The 15256-nt window shown below is 44.4% G+C and overlaps 1 long non-coding RNA gene across 3 annotated transcripts in view, besides 4 other annotated features; it reads left to right on the top strand.

Moving 5' to 3' along the window:
• Positions 1-7704, top strand: part of TSHZ3-AS1 (TSHZ3 antisense RNA 1) — a 101016-nt gene extending 93312 nt beyond the window's left edge. For 2 of the 3 annotated variants that reach the window (XR_002958388.2, XR_001753896.2), the window contains exon 3: positions 2460-7704. This is a non-coding gene — a long non-coding RNA (TSHZ3 antisense RNA 1). The remainder of the gene's footprint in view (positions 1-2459) is intronic. The other variant, XR_001753900.2, reaches the window with a different exon arrangement.
• Positions 3083-4029: an enhancer, noted in NCBI's record as "OCT4-NANOG-H3K27ac hESC enhancer chr19:31909131-31910077 (GRCh37/hg19 assembly coordinates)". NCBI's record gives its function as "activates a minimal SCP1, AML or CMV promoter by ChIP-STARR-seq in primed H9 embryonic stem cells {active_cell/tissue: H9 hESC(primed)}" and the evidence as "EXISTENCE:reporter gene assay evidence [ECO:0000049][PMID:30033119]".
• Positions 4030-4976: an enhancer, noted in NCBI's record as "OCT4-NANOG-H3K27ac-H3K4me1 hESC enhancer chr19:31910078-31911024 (GRCh37/hg19 assembly coordinates)". NCBI's record gives its function as "activates a minimal SCP1, AML or CMV promoter by ChIP-STARR-seq in primed H9 embryonic stem cells {active_cell/tissue: H9 hESC(primed)}" and the evidence as "EXISTENCE:reporter gene assay evidence [ECO:0000049][PMID:30033119]".
• Positions 4030-5175: a biological region, named in NCBI's record as "Sharpr-MPRA regulatory region 8466".
• Positions 4881-5175: a silencer, noted in NCBI's record as "tiled region #8466; K562 Repressive non-DNase unmatched - State 24:Quies". NCBI's record gives its function as "represses a minimal TATA promoter and a strong SV40 promoter by Sharpr-MPRA in K562 cells {active_cell/tissue: K562}" and the evidence as "EXISTENCE:reporter gene assay evidence [ECO:0000049][PMID:27701403]".
• Positions 7705-15256: the final 7552 nt, after the last annotated feature.

The following is a 15256-nucleotide window of genomic DNA, read 5'->3' on the forward strand; positions in this document are numbered from 1 at the left end:
TCAGGTAGTATTTGTCTTTGTCTGGCTTATTTCAGTTGGACAATTCAATTAGACATTTTGTAATGTCTTCCAGGTTCATCCGTGTTTTTGCAAATGGCAGAATTTCCTCCTGTTTTATGGCTGAGTAATATTCCATTCTCTCTCTCTCTCTCTGTGTGTTTGTTTGGGGTGGGGTGTCACATTTTCTTTATTCATTCACCTGTTGGTGGGCACTAGATTGGTTTGATGTCTTGGCCATTGCAAATAGCACTGCATGTCATACCTTTTCATAGAGGAGGAAATAAAAGCTCAGTAGGTGTAACTAACTTGCCACAATCCTATACACAGGGAGTGGCCAAGCCAGTGTGTGAAACCTGATATAACTAGGTCTGAAGCCCACACTCTCAAGGGAGTTGCCAGGGATCAAGGGAAAAGCTCTAGAGTAGAGCTATGTGGCTGAGCCACATATCCCATCGATGGAGTAGCCTCTGAATATTTAATAGTGACTACACTTTGCCAAAATGGGTCAAATATTTTGGAAGTTTAAAGTTTGGAGACAAAGGTGGAAAACTTTGTGTGTGGAGTAAGAAACGTTGGTTTATTTTGGCACTAAGCCCACCTTGGTTTTGTTGGGACAGCTCTGCTTCTCCCTATTATTAGGCAGTGGCCTGCCAGCCTTACCCAATACTGCAAGGAACCCAACCAGTGAGGGGAGCCGCAGTCAGGGATTTGGGAAGCGCAGAGTGCAGGCAGGTCCCGTGGGTTGGTAAAGTCACAGGAAGAGCAGATTTGATGCACTTTCTGCCTTAAGTGTCCCTTTCCTCCATTCTCTGTTTCTCTTGGTTTTGTTTTGTTTTTGGAGGAGATACTAGAATACTCATACTCAACCTTCAAAACTCAGCTCGAATACCACCGCCCCCAAATAACCTCCCCAGATTCTAAGAGGTCAGATTAAAGGCTCCCTTAGTTCACAGGCACCCCATGCACTTGCTGTTGTGTGGCACGGTGTGCTTGTCTGTCTCCCACTGCTAGGCAGCGAGCTTTCAGAGCAGAGACACACATGGCTGTTGCGGAAGAACTGGGGACAGATGAAGCGCACGTGTGCATGAGGCTGTGGTGCAGGCAGGGGCAGCAGGCTGCAGCCTGGACCAGCCACCTTGAGGAAGAAGGGCATCCAGACTGCTGGTGACCCATGCAGCCAGTGCAGAGTGAGAGCCCAGCAAAGTGGCCTTTTTGGGAATCTGATATGGATTGGTACATGGGGGCAGGGGCCATGTTGGCCAACCAGAGGGCAGGGTCGCTCAGTTTGTGAGTCCTTGCCCGGGGCTGTCTGCATCACCAGTCTATCAGGAAGTTCCTTCCTGCAATAGCAGTGTTTGAGCGGGGATTAGGGCCTGAAAACTGCAAGTAGTGACCTCACTCCCCACCCCACATTGATCCATTGACTATTGACTAGAACCAAGACTGGAAAGGTCTTATTCCCTTCTCAGATCCTCCCAGTCCTCAGAAAAGGGTCAGATAAAGTGCGACCAAGACACAGAGGAAGAAGATGGAAAGGGAGAGAAAGACAGAGATGGTAGACAACAAGACAATTGTGATGCGAAGGGAGAGTTCCAGGCAGGAGAGGGCAGCATTGGAGGGAGATTCACCTGAGATCCATGTAGGAAACCAAACTCCAGCCCAGCCTCTGCTACCAAGAGGGTCCCACCTCACCCAGTTCTGTTCTCCCATGCATAGAAAAATTTAAAAATATATTTTACTCTTTTCTCTGATACTCAATTCCCCTGAGGAATATTTTTTGTTTTGCTTTGTTTTGTTATTGTTGTTGTTGTTTTTTAAGGGAAAAATGTTCACGGAAGGTTATAAAACACATATAATTTACTCATGGTAATTGCCCACATGTTATTTATGTGCTGTGCTGGCAGTGAGACCGAGAAGAACGACTTGATCAATGCATTAGTCTAATCACGGGGTTCCTGCTCTTAATTTCTTTTGCTGGTAATTTCCATACTCAGGCAGCAATGCGTAGAATTATCTCGATTTACAGATCTCGGGGCCCTGGGGAAAATCTCTTTGGAGCCATTTCTGTCTCCTGGGAAATTTGAAATTTATTCAACACTGAGTTTGAAAGCCCTATGATATGGGTTCAACAACTCCAAATAATACCTTAGAAATTTAGTAGGTCTGTGTGACATTTTTCCTTTTTTAATTAGTAACTTTAGGGGGCTCAGAAACGGATCACAGAACATTTTTAAGAACAACTTTTGGTCAACTTGAAGCCAAGATTTGGCAGACTTGGCGTTTGCCGGGAAACACACACAAAGAAAAACACTACTCTTTCTTTTCTTGTTAAATCCATGAAAGTTCCTGGCTTGGCTTTGCCCCGGGTTTGTAACACAGTCTTCTAAGGTGGAGTATTTATGGCAAATCTATTGAAAGCCATGGGAGAAATTTCCTGTAACTTCAATTTACTTTGACAGAAGGAGACGCAACACCTGCTGTTAGCTGAACCTGCTGACCAGGCTCCGTCTCCTCAAAGTTTTGGGGGAGCAGAGAAGATGGTATGAGCAGAACTTCTTTCTCTTGGATCAGCTCCTAGGTTTGTTCTAGTGCCTGAAGAGAACAGGTTGCAGTATCTCCAACTGCAAAGCAGGTGCGTGGAGCCACATTCCTTCTGTTGAGCAAAGCCCTTCAGAGGGGCCCACGGGCAGGTGAGTCCTCCTCCCTTAACACAATATCACAGACAGTCCAGCCTCCAAGCCTCAAAGGGCAGAGCAAAAGGGCCAAAGAGGAGATGGCAGGCACAGCCTGGACTGTCTGAGATTTCAGATCCGCAGAGGAAAAGTTGGCAAGCGTCGGGACCAACATTCTTCTACCATTAACACTCACCTAGGAATAATATCTATATTTTGGGCTGGCACTTCAGGTTTACTGTCTCGTATAATCTCAACAACCTGGGAGGTAGATGCATTCATATTCTTATTTTGCAGATGAGGCAATTGATCCTCCGACAGGTTGAGGAGCACCTGCAAGGTCTCAGACAGGTGGTAAGTATCAGAAAGAGAGGGTTTAAATGCAGATTCGGTCTGATTCTGCAGGAGATCTCATACCTGAACAGGTGAGTCATCGTCACGTTTCAGGAGCAACCACCAGGGCATGCTGAACTTCCTAAGGCAGTAGGGTGACCAGCTGCCTTGGTTTGCCGGAGACTGGGGGTTTCCCAGGACACAAGACTTGCAATGCTAAAACTGGGAAAGTTCTGGACAGACTGGGACAAGCTGGTTCCCTTATCTGGAAGTGAGAATAAAACATAAGCTACTAAGAGTGCTGTGACTTTAAACTGTAAAATCAAAATAAGTAGCAAACCAGTGGTTTGTGGGTAGGATGTGAGTCTCTGGCGAGTTTCTTTTTAACTGCATGGAGTTCCTAAGGCATTTTACACAGATTGCATTTGAAATGCCAGAGTTGTTGCATAGAAAGTTGGACCTCGGGCTTTCAAAAAATAGAAAGAGCAGGTCTTGGAAGGCTACAGTCCCAGCAAGGGTGATGGCTCCTTTCGTAATTCTCAGTTCCTGCTGGCCAACCTTATTCATTAGACCATGGGCTTGGCTCTTGGAGACAGTCAATGTTTTCCGTAGAGAATATTACCCCGCAGTGGCCAGGAAGCAAATGCCAATAGATCTCCAAAATATTTGATCATACCAATGGATTGCCTAGAATATCCTGTGGTCTTTCTGTTGCCTTTGAGAGAACGTCATGGAATACCAGGTGGGGGTGGGGCAGGTGAGCTCAGGGTAGCAAGGATTCTGACATAGCAAAGGGAAATTCTGTATGGGACAGACTCAAAGGTCCCAGATGCCCTCTCAAATGAAGATGGCAATATTCCAAATATTCATTGATCCATAAGCATCTCACGGCAGGTATAAGATCTGGGAGAACTCATCTTATTCCATCCCCAGGAAACAAACATCCCTTCTTGGGCAATGTCTCCAGGCCACGCTTCTCATCCGCAGAGCAGGTGCCTGTTCTCCCCGGGCCATCTGACAGGGGAGATAGAAAATCTGCAAGAGAAAGCTCACAGCACGGGGCTGAGCCCTGGAGGGGAAGCACAGAGGCCTGTATTCTAATTCACTGATGATCAATTTGCAAGTTCTTTTTCTCTTAGTTCCCTTAGTTTCCTTCCAGGTAATGCAGAATTCCTTGAAGCTTCTCTAGGTTGTTTTACTTTGCAATCTTTGGTCAGAAGGTCTTTCTCATGTTAACAGGTGAGTTAAGGTAAGAGCCCCAGACTCCTGGGCTTCCCCCAGCCCACTCCATGATCCCAAAAGAGATTCCACTGGGGGATACAGTTTGAATCACCTGAACTAGACAATTATTACAGCTTCTCTTCCAGGTTGAATATTTCAGGGTCCCTTGCCAAACAGGGGAAGATCTTGTTAAACCAAAATCCCAAATAGATTTCAAATATGCTGGAAGTTTACATGACCCTAAAGACTGCTCTCCATGAGAGACTCAGGGGCTGGGGTAGTACCTTCTAAATTTCCATGGGAAAATGAACATGCTCCAGCAAGAGCTTGGGAAAAGAAGATAGTCCCTAAGTTTTATTGTTTGAAATTTGTCACTCAAGGATGTGAACGTGTCGCTGACAATTATGTAGCATCTCAGAGCTCAGAAAGCACTTTTGCATCGATTATTTCATTTCTTGTTCGTGCCAATTGTGTGAGGTGGACAACGTTATGTTCATATGAGAAATGCAGCCCAGAGAGGCTCAAACCCAGCACTTTTAACTCCCAATCTCCCTCTTTTCTCAGTACCATGTGGTAAGTCTTTATTAACCAGAGTGTCCAATTAACCAGAACATGCCTGTGTCTTAGGGATCATCCCAGACTGATTTTCTTTGCAGAAAACCCCAGGGAGCCACAGCCTTTCCTGCACCTCCTTTTGTTAGCTGTATGTTTTTTTAGCGGCCCAGTGAGGCCTGCATTTCAGAGCCTGTGTTGCAAAGCTCATTGCTGTGGAGGAGACGGTTATGGGCTGGGGCCTGGGTCTTCCGCCCCTTCCTGGCAGACCAGGAGCTTCAGTTGCTCTCTGTGAAGTTCTTCTTTGCAGGAGCCTGACACAGACGACAGCCCCAGGTAATCCCTATTCTTCAAGACCAAGCCAGGGAAAATCTTCCAGATGTTCTTGCTACTCACCCCGACCTTGCGGTCTTACCCTTCTGGCTGAACAAGAGACAAACAGCTCCTCTCCACTTGGCTGTGTGCGGCTTAACGAATGCGTATGAAGACCGTATAAATAATTCACATCACTCAAGAGGTGGCGAGCTGAACAAGTCCCTTCTGGTTACATTTATTTCAAGATAAGGTGAAACTAAGTGAGTGATGGCCCAGTTACAGAGGCCAGGGTCCAAAGGGGATTGGGACACTCTAAGTTACACCACCAGAGTGATTTGTGCAGAACTGTGTCAACTTAGAGATCCTGGCACCTTGGGGGAAAGGGAAATGTCTTATCTCTAAGAAAAGTGATACAGGATGAGTATTTTCCAAGTACAGCCTATAAGCTAATTCTGCAGAATCAATTTGGCTCTGCCAGGAACCAAGTTTCTGCTTTAATCTAAGAGGAACTCTGAATTAGTAACCTTGCACATGTTGTCTTCCCTTGGAAATGTCACTAAGGGACTCTTCGAAGCATGGGTGTGGGTCCTTGGTGTAGGTCCTCTAGGTGCATGAGGTGGCACTTTCCAGAAGCATGGGTGAACCTCCCAAGGGAGTCCAGAGTCTTTTATTGGAATCAATGGATGAGAAAAATATTGTTTTGCAACTTGAGTGAATGTGGCCTCCATGATCAAAACCTGGACTAGAAAAGCCTGTGGAGTGGCCCTAGAACAGGGCAAGGTAGAGAGGAGAGTTTTCTCCTGCTGTGAATTTACCACTCATTCCTGTATTGTAGCCACATGCTTTAATTTTTTTTCTTCTCCCTTTTCCCACAGTGCCCCCTAAATATTTCCACTGAAGACTTTTAGAACTTTGGAATAAGGAAATTGTATCTCCAGCTGACAATAAAATTTACGAAGCAAAGAATGCCTCCGTTAATACTTTCCAAACGTCTTTGTTTTTGAACGAGCAAGATGCTGAGAACCTTCCAATTCAGTAACCCTGCCTCTGACAGGCAGCAGAACAGTTAGCAAGGTTGACAGATAGATGCAGCCACACGATGCAATAATCCTTGCTGCACTGAACTTTGTATTTAAACACTTATTTTATGTTTAATTAATTTCTCCAAAGAGGAAAACTTCCAGGCTGCCTTTGAAGCCGGCTGTTTGTTTAAGATATTTTGTTTTAAGAATAAGAGAAAAAAAGGAAGGAAGGAAACGGAGGGAAAATGTTTATGTTTTTCCTGTTGTTTTTTCAAATATGATGTGACATTGTGAAAAGGCCTCCTGAAAGTGCAATTTTTTGTTTGTGATGGAAGAGAGATGCACCTATGAGTCTTACATCATCAAAGAAACAGACGCTTATCTATAATTTATGCTTTGCTTTAAGCTTCTGCTGATCTGATGTGGCTTTTTTAAGACAACACAGGCAGCCCTGGCATCACTTGTCAATCATCGGGGCATGCTCAAATCGTAGACCATTAGCAGGAGGGACGGCAGAGTTTCTTTAATGACGCTTTTATACGGGGCATCCTGGCAGTGAAACAGAGAGGGTTTGATTTGATCAATGCATTAGCCTAATCACAGCGTTCCTGCTCTTAATTTCTTTTGTCGGCAATTTCCATACATGGGTTGCGTTCAGGGTTCTGGCAAAAACCCGTTCAGAACTCCGTGTGACATGTGCAGTCACCTTGCCCGGATTTCTCTCGGTGGGAAGCGACGTCTGCAAGAGAGGGGACGGCGGCTGGGCTGGATGGCTGCCTTTGAGTCCGTCCTGCGGTGAGGCTGGGGAAGGCCCATTCCACGCGAGCCTTGGCTTCAGCCCTGAGGTGCCTGCCAGCCCCCGTGGCAGACCCCGGCCCTGCCAATTTCAGCCCCCTTGGTGATTCTGTTCCAGCGCTCGCCAAAAGCAGAATCCGTGTATAATGAACAAGTTTCATGTTCAACATTTTAAGTGTCTATTTATGAGTCCCAGTAATTAGCCCTTTGTCTGCAATTCTGGCGATGATGATTAGAATTCCATCTCACGTTATGAATGCTGCTCCCCAAACTTGTCCTTCTCGCCTGGAGAATCCCAAGCAGGTGGGCACCTGAAAGGCAAAGAAAGGGGGCGATTTGGGGAGTGGCCGGTCTCTTCTTTTACCAGCCCTCCAGCAGCCTCCTTCCTTTGATCCCATTCTTCCCTGGCTGTATGTAATTTCAGACTTCTCAGAATCCATTTTCCTGGCTTTTGTTCTGAAACTTGTTTTCTTCTCATCCTCCACTGTCATCCCCAAAGGGTGCATTTTTTTATATCATGCCCTACACATGATATTTGTACCTTTTGCAAAATCTTGTCAGGATGCTATGAGGTTTGAGAGTCTTTCCAAACGAATCATTCTCAGAATCAAAATATTATGAAGGAGGCCAAATTATCTCTAATTATAACCTCCAGAAAAGTGGAGAACTTTTTCAACAAACAGAACAGGGGTAAGCATCTTACAGAAATATTTGCAAGAAAAGTAATATTCTTTTTTTTTAAAGCTATCAAATCATGTAAGCATACAAATAAATGTATTTTAATAAGGGTAAAATTACTAGTTAATGAGTTTGCTTTGGGGTTTTGTATCTTCGGTACAAAAATATATAAATGCTTTTATTAAGGTTGTACCTATTATTTTCTAAATGAACACAAACACACAATCTAATCCATTTAGCAATAATATATTTTAACATATCACTTACTCCCTCTGCCACTTCTTATTAGGGTACACTCTAGAAAACTGAATAATAATCTGTACCACATAGACTCTCAGCATCCTTTATGACTATAAAAGGAATTCGAGTTTTTGATGATATCACAGCAATGTAAACAGATAATTGGAAAGCCAGGGCTTCCTTTAGAGGGAAGCCAGGGTCAGCCTTGGGGCTTGGAATTGGGCAGTCTCTTTGCAAACTTGTCTTATTCCATGGATAAATTTCTTCCCATTTCCCCCAGTACCTGGAGGATGGTGGTGGTGGTTTCTGGAGGACTTTTCTCCACCCTGGGCCAGGACTTCTGGGGAGGCAGATGGAGTAGCCGTTTGAAGTTCTGAGTTCATATCTTTGCAGAAAGAAAAGCATCTCCAGGCTTCCAGGAAGCCCTGGCTGGTGGCTGATGTATGGACCCAGGCAGGGCAATGATTGGCCAGTCATGAAAAATTAGCCTAACTCACAACTTCCTGAAGAATGAAGGAGAGGAGCTGCGAAGGCAAACAACCGTGGGAAGGAGAGGCCCGGTTCGTGGCTCATGTCTGTAATCCCAGCACTTTGAGACACTGAGGCGGGCTGATCACAAGGTCAGGAGATGGAGACCATCCTGGCTAATACAATAAAACCCCATCTCTACTACAAAGACAAAAAAATTAGTCGGGTGTGGTGGTGGGCGCCTGTAGTCCCAGATACTCGGGAGGCTGAAGCAGGAAAATGGTGTGAACCTGGGAGGCGGAGCTTGCAGTGAGCTGAGATGGTGCCACTACACTCCAGCCTGGGCAACAGAGCAAGACTCCGTCTCAGAAAAAAAAAAAAAAGAACTGTGGGAGGGAGAAAAGGCCACAGAGCACTCTTTCCAAGTTAGAACAACGCTTGGGCATTTCTTGGTTCTGCCCTTATCTTGGTCCATGACTATGGCTTGTGTGTGTGTGTGTGTGTGTGTGTGTGTCTGCTTCAGTAGGCTAATTGAGTATCTAAACAAACTAATTAATCACAGGAATTCATACAAGATGGACAGGTCTGGAGAGGTGATGTTCATCAAACCCCTCCATTTGTTTTTTAATCCTTGCAGCAATTTATTTGCTGAATATGCACATTTCTTCCTTGAAATTTCCTAGCTGTGGCCAAGGTTAACTGTATACAGACTCATTCAGTATTTATGATTTTGCATAGTGGAGAAGTTTTTTTTTTTTTTTCTTCAGAGTCAGAGAATCTGGGTGCATTAATCAAAAATAATGAATAAAATGATCCGTCTGACAATTCTCATAGCCGCCTAGGTTTCAGGAGAATAACGAACTAACTTTATTAATCAACAGTTCCTGATTAATTGTTACAAAGTGTCATCCATAAATTTCCCTTCATTTTAATAATACTTGCTGAACGCTAACAATATCCCCAGTGATTTCAGATTTATGGCAGCCTGGGCACTGCGAGGAGTGTGGCACTCCAGCCTTCTCTGCTCCCCCGAGCCTGAGTGGCTCTTCAATCCCAGCCTGATCTCTGTTTTCCTGGCACCCCTCTTTCTGTGACCCCTTCTTCCCCACCCCTCTCCTGGCTCCTCTGCCTATGTCTGCCAGGCAGAGAAACCACCGGCTCCCGGGAGCACCTGTGCTTGGCACCCCAGCCCCACCAGGGCTCCCCACCCATTTCACCTCTTCAGGCCCAGTTTCATGAAGGATAACGTAGAGAACAGCGCCGCAACCCATTAACCATGACAGTTTCACTTTTCTCTCCTAATTACTCGTTCCTGCCTATTTGGCATTTTCTTAGAAAAATTTGTTGAATAATGACCAGCATTAAAATGGAGGCTCTTAAGAATTTATACGCAGAGCTTAATTTATCATGTACTTTCCTTATCTTGCAGCCGAATTTATTTCTAAGTGTCTTTGCTATGCCTGTGACAGTGTAGTCATTTTCTTAAGGGCACAGCATGTATCGGTAACACATTTAAAAATGCAACACTATTTAATCAGAAGAAGCTCAGGCTGGTTTCTTTGTGAATTGTGTTTGTTTACTGCAACTGCCGGCTTGACATAAGGCAATTAGTACTAATTGTTTAACCCAGCTGCCTTGCTGAGAGCAACCAAGAACTTTTGTACTTTATCTTGTTTTCTCTAGTCGCTCTTTGCTATCCAATTGCTGCCATATTTGCTCTTGTTTCCAGTGTTTTCAACAGGGTGTAATTCTGCTTTTGTGAAACGGGCAGGAGGCTGTCTTCCTCAAGAGAATATTGTGAGGAGGACAATCTTCAGCAAAGTTCATCTGGCTGGCTCTTCTTGTGGGTTGCTGTGAGGTCTTTGAAAGCCAGCAAGAAATTGAGGTCAAAATGGACAACGGGAACTCAAAAACTGTACGTGAGCCTGGGAAGACATTCTCTCCCCCGCCTGCTTTTAGCTAAACTTCTGCAAAAAGGAAAATCCTAAGGCTCAGATTTCAATGGGTTTTAAGTTATGAGGAGAAGCTGTAACTTCAGGCTACCATCTGTCTGCCTCGAATATTTTACTTCTTGCTTATTCTTTGTCAAAGTTTGCATCTATAGGAGGCCACTGGGAGTAGGAGGAAAATTCATGATTTATCATGTTTTGATTTGCTTGTAATGGCTTAAATATGCTTCCACGGAGTCTCAGAGATTACATCTTTCCAAAAGAGGGAATTGTATTAGAGGTGGACATGAAGCCTCCCCTTGGGGTGGCGGAGTTGTTGCAGGATGGCTCTGGCTCTGGCTGAATCAGGGTGACCCTACACCATTGTTGTTCAGCCACCAGGATATGATGGTTGTCCTAGGTGCATCCCTGTGGACCAGCTAGGGTAGCACATCTCCCTGAAAGATTGCAAGGACCCTGAGGCTAGACACTTGATCACAGCAACAATGTCATATACAGGACACTATGGGGCGTGTCTTATAGAAGTCTGTTGAATTACTACCAGGCCAATGGCCACCAATTAAAATACAATCATGCACTGAATAATGACATTTTTGTCAATGATGGACTCATAAACAATGATGGTCCCATAAGATTCTAATGAAGCTGAAAAATTCCTGTCACCTAGTGATATAGCCATTGTGATGTTGTAGCAAAATTAATTGATTTTTTTTATAAATATGGCATCGCCCAAGTGAACATGGCTTGTCTTTTTTTAGACATAGTCTTGCTCTGCTGCCCAGGCCAGAGGAATCTCAGCTCACTTCAACCTCTGTCTCCCGGGTTCAGGGAATTCTCCTGCCTCAGCCTCCTGAGTAGCTGGGACTACAGGCACAAGCCACCACACCTGGCTAATTTTTTTGTATTTTTAGTAGTGAGAGGGTTTCGCCATGTTGGCCAGGATGGTCTCAAAATCCTGACCTCAAGTGTTCCACTTGCCTTGGCCTCCCAAAGTGCTGGGATTACAGGCATGAGCCACCATGCTCAGCCTACGTTGCTTATTAAATCTACAGTAGTGTACAGTAATGTCCTAGGCCATCACATTCACTCACCACTCACTCAATGACTCACCCAGAGCAAATTCCAGTCTGCAAACTCCATTTATAGTAAGGACTCTATACAAATGTATCATTTTTATGTTTCATATTATATTTTCACTGTGTGTGTTCTATGTTTAGGTATGTTTGAATACACAAATCCTTACCATGATGTTACAAATGCCTATAGTATTTAGTACAGTAACATACTGTACAGGTTTGTAGCCTAAGAGCCGTAGGCTATCAAGCTCAGCCTAAGTGCATAGCAGCCTCTGTCATCTATATGTGTGTACGTTTCCCTTATGATATTTGCACAGTGATGAAATTGCCCAAGGATGCCTTTCTTAGAATGTGTAAATGCAACATTGCAAGCATAAAGATGAACATCAAAGAACTCAGCCCAGGTGTCAGGGGATGAAACTCCACCTATGGGTGCCATAGTTGGTAAGTATGACAGGGAGGGATGTGGGTCATTTTCCCAGCTTATGATTAGGTTTGTTCTAGCAGCCAAGAGTACATGTGCTGACTCCAAGTGAGTTCACACATACAGAAATGTTTTTCTCTCACATAACTGGATCTTCAGAGATACCGGACTTGATGCATATTCTAGTAGAGCTCAATAATTCCCCTGGAAATCTGGGTCTTTCTTTTTTTGAGGTCAGCTTTGGCTCCATCCTCTGGCTGACTGTGCATGTGATTGCTGGCTGGTGGTCCATTGCAGCCAGGACGGCATGCTCTCATTCTCTTTCCAGGTGAACAAGAATAACTGTTTCTCCAATTACGGGACATTATAAGTTGTTTCCTTCATTCTGATTGAATGCACCCACGTCGCTTGCCACATTTGGACCAATAACAGATCCCAGAAGAAAACCATGCCGATTGGCTTAGAAGGCTGTGGATGTTTCCAAGGCTAGGAAAATAACTGAGCAGAATCAAGGCTGTGTTGGAAAGGTGTGCTGGAGAGGAGACCAAGTGTTACAACTCAGATCTATCAGCTTATCAAAGGAGGAAGAAAGCTAGCTCTTGGGTGAAATTTCCCAATGTTTAAATAAAGGCAGCTAATGCAAGTTTTGCCCTAAAAACGTCATGTAAGTCAGTGGAGCACGGTGGCTCAGGCCTGTAATCCCAGCACTTTGGGAGGCTGAGGTGGGTGGACTGCCCGATCTCAGGATTTCGAGACCAACCTGGGAAACCCCATCTCTACTAAAATACAAAAAATTAGCCGGGCGTGCCCTGTAATCCCAGCTACTCAGGAGGCTGAGACAGGAGAATTACTTGAACCTGGGAGGCGGACATTGTAGTGAGCCAGGATTGCGCCACTGCATTCCAGCCTGTGTCACAGAGCGAAACTCCATCTAAAAAAAAAAAAAAAAGACAAAGCAAAAAAGCAAAAATAAAAACAACAACAAAAAAAACAAAAGCATCTCACAGGTCAATCATGTGATCATGTGGCACAATGAAGCATGATTAAGCAAGACCTGACTCTGATTCCTGAGTCTCCAGTTCTGGTTCTCTGGGGAAGTAGGAAACTGATGGAATGGAGAAAGCCAAGAGTGGGTGGAATTCCATCCACAGGATGGTCAAGAACTCTAGACTTGAGAAGCTCTTGGCAAGTTTCTCCTTCCGTCTTGTGGCTGTCTGGGAAGAACACATGTAATACATTTCAGTAGGCTCCCAACAGCAGCACCTCAGAGACTTTTAAAAGGTCAAGAGCTTTCTTAAGAACTACTGGAGAGTAACTTGGGTGCTGGGGAAAATTAAGATTAATATACATTGGAAGTTAAATCCTGCCTTTTTTTTTTTTACCCCCTAGGAAAACTCTTAATGTTAGCAGAAGCCTGGATCAGCTGAGAAAGCTACAGGTTTTCTGTTCCAAAAATGCTTTTGTTGCTAATTAAAATTAGTCTAATTTTGAAATGATCACATCATTAAAGAGTATTTCAACTGATGTTGATTTGATGATACCTACAAACATCTTAGAATAAAGAGGCTGGTGTTTTAGCATTAAAAGGTGCTCTGATTAGACCTAAATCTGTGAAATTGATGACATGAGCTTCTGGTACCTCTTCATTCGTTTTTTTCCCCTTCTGCATAAAATAATTATGAATACTTCACTCCATGCAATCCACGTTTATTTTATTTTTTACAGGGTTGGGGGAGGGCTGGATTAAGTGCTAGCTCTTTGCTTGTCTATGGTATTGCTCTAGCAATATCTTAATTAAGTCTAGAGTCAAGATGAAATATGTGCCCCAAGTATGTTTCTAATCCTTTCAAACTTGCAGGTTTGATGTGTGATCCTGGGCCAAGTCTTTAGAATGGTGTCTCTTATGTCAATAAATCTTCTGAGACGTGTCAGCCAGGTCATTGACATCTTTGGTGAAATGGAGAACTGGCTCTCAGAGGGGCTGCAGGTTGAAGGCACAGTCCCAGAGGATTTTCACCTTCTTCCCCAGGGCAGGGCTTTTTCCACAGTCTCCTCTGCATAAATATTCTGTGCATTCATGTCTCCTTTCCTCTACTTGCCTGGCAGGTCAACTCCATACCTTCTCCTCTTGGCCTATCCAAACTCTAACCACCTGCAAAAGCCACTCCTGAAATCAAGAAGGTTTCTCTCCTTTATCTCTTGCAGGAGTTACCAATGATGCCAACCATTTGGATGCTCAATCAAAGTACTTTAGCAGATTTGTATTAAGTACCTGGATTCATCCATTTGACACATATCATAGAACCCATGCTTAGAGTAATGAGAAAGGCAGACAGGCAGATGTGATCACTGCTCCTAGGACATTCACATTCAGAGGTGTGATAGGGAGTAAACAGTGAGGCACACGCAGCATTTCAGATTGTAAAATGCTCACAAAGGGAGTGAAGAGGGTGGCAGGACAGGAAGATTGGTGATAGAAAGCCATCTGAACAAATAACCTTTTACCCCTCTCCCAAGATAAGGAAGACATGTCCAGTGAGTGGTGATTCACTTCTCATGTTTGGGTATATCTGATAAGGAAAGTCAAGGCTGCTGGGCCTTGGCCATGACCTAAGGATGTAGCAGAACTTCATGAGGATGACCTCTGGAGAGGATGGCTTTGGGGCTGAGACCTATAGATGAGAAGGGAAGAGCCTTTCAGGAAGTCCATGTTGTTTCCTGGAGTCCACTGTGCATTCATCTAATCTTTCCACCTCCTAGACTGAGAAACTGAGAATGCCTTAAAGGCCAGATTGGCTAAATTCATATGGATAGGGCCTCTGAATTCTGGCAGTGGGTGGGCCTTCTAAGTGGTACCCTTCCCAGTAGATACTTGCTGAGCCTAACTGAAGGAGAAGCAGTCCAGACTCTTCCCATTCCCTAAAGAGAAAAAAGTTGAGAGCAATTCAGGATGACAATGTGACCCTGAGCATGGAAACCTCACTTCTAGAAGTGATTATTTTTCTTAGACTTCATGTCACCAGTATTTCGCAAGTTGAAATGAAAACCACAGAGGCGCTTCACCATTTATTGCGAGTGAAGAAAAACTTCTAAGCTTCTTTTCTGCCCTGACTTTCCTTCTAGACTTTAGAACACCTCTCATGGCCCAGCCATAAGGCCTTCCTCAACACAGAGTAGGGCTGAAACATCTAGCTTATGGTGTGATTATTTGGGGCCACACTCTTATTCCTTTAAGACCAGCCCCTCCCAGAAGATCTTGCCTGATTCCTCCTTAAGAATCAGTGCAAGTGCCCTAGAAGTACAAGCAGGCCAGGCCATGGTGTGTGTTTGCCCAACAATGTTTTAAGACTCTCTAGTACAGTGGGGATTGACCAGAGCTGCTTCCTTTGACCTCAAAGACTGTCATATAGTCATGATCTGGAGAGTCTGTGGATTGAGCACCTGAGCCAGAGTGACCAGCAGCAACTTGTCTGGGCATCTTGCAAGTAACTTTTTTTTGGTTTATTTTTGA

The sequence above is a fragment of the Homo sapiens genome, chromosome 19 (genome assembly GCF_000001405.40).
Source record: "Homo sapiens chromosome 19, GRCh38.p14 Primary Assembly".
Lineage (NCBI taxonomy): Eukaryota > Metazoa > Chordata > Mammalia > Primates > Hominidae > Homo > Homo sapiens.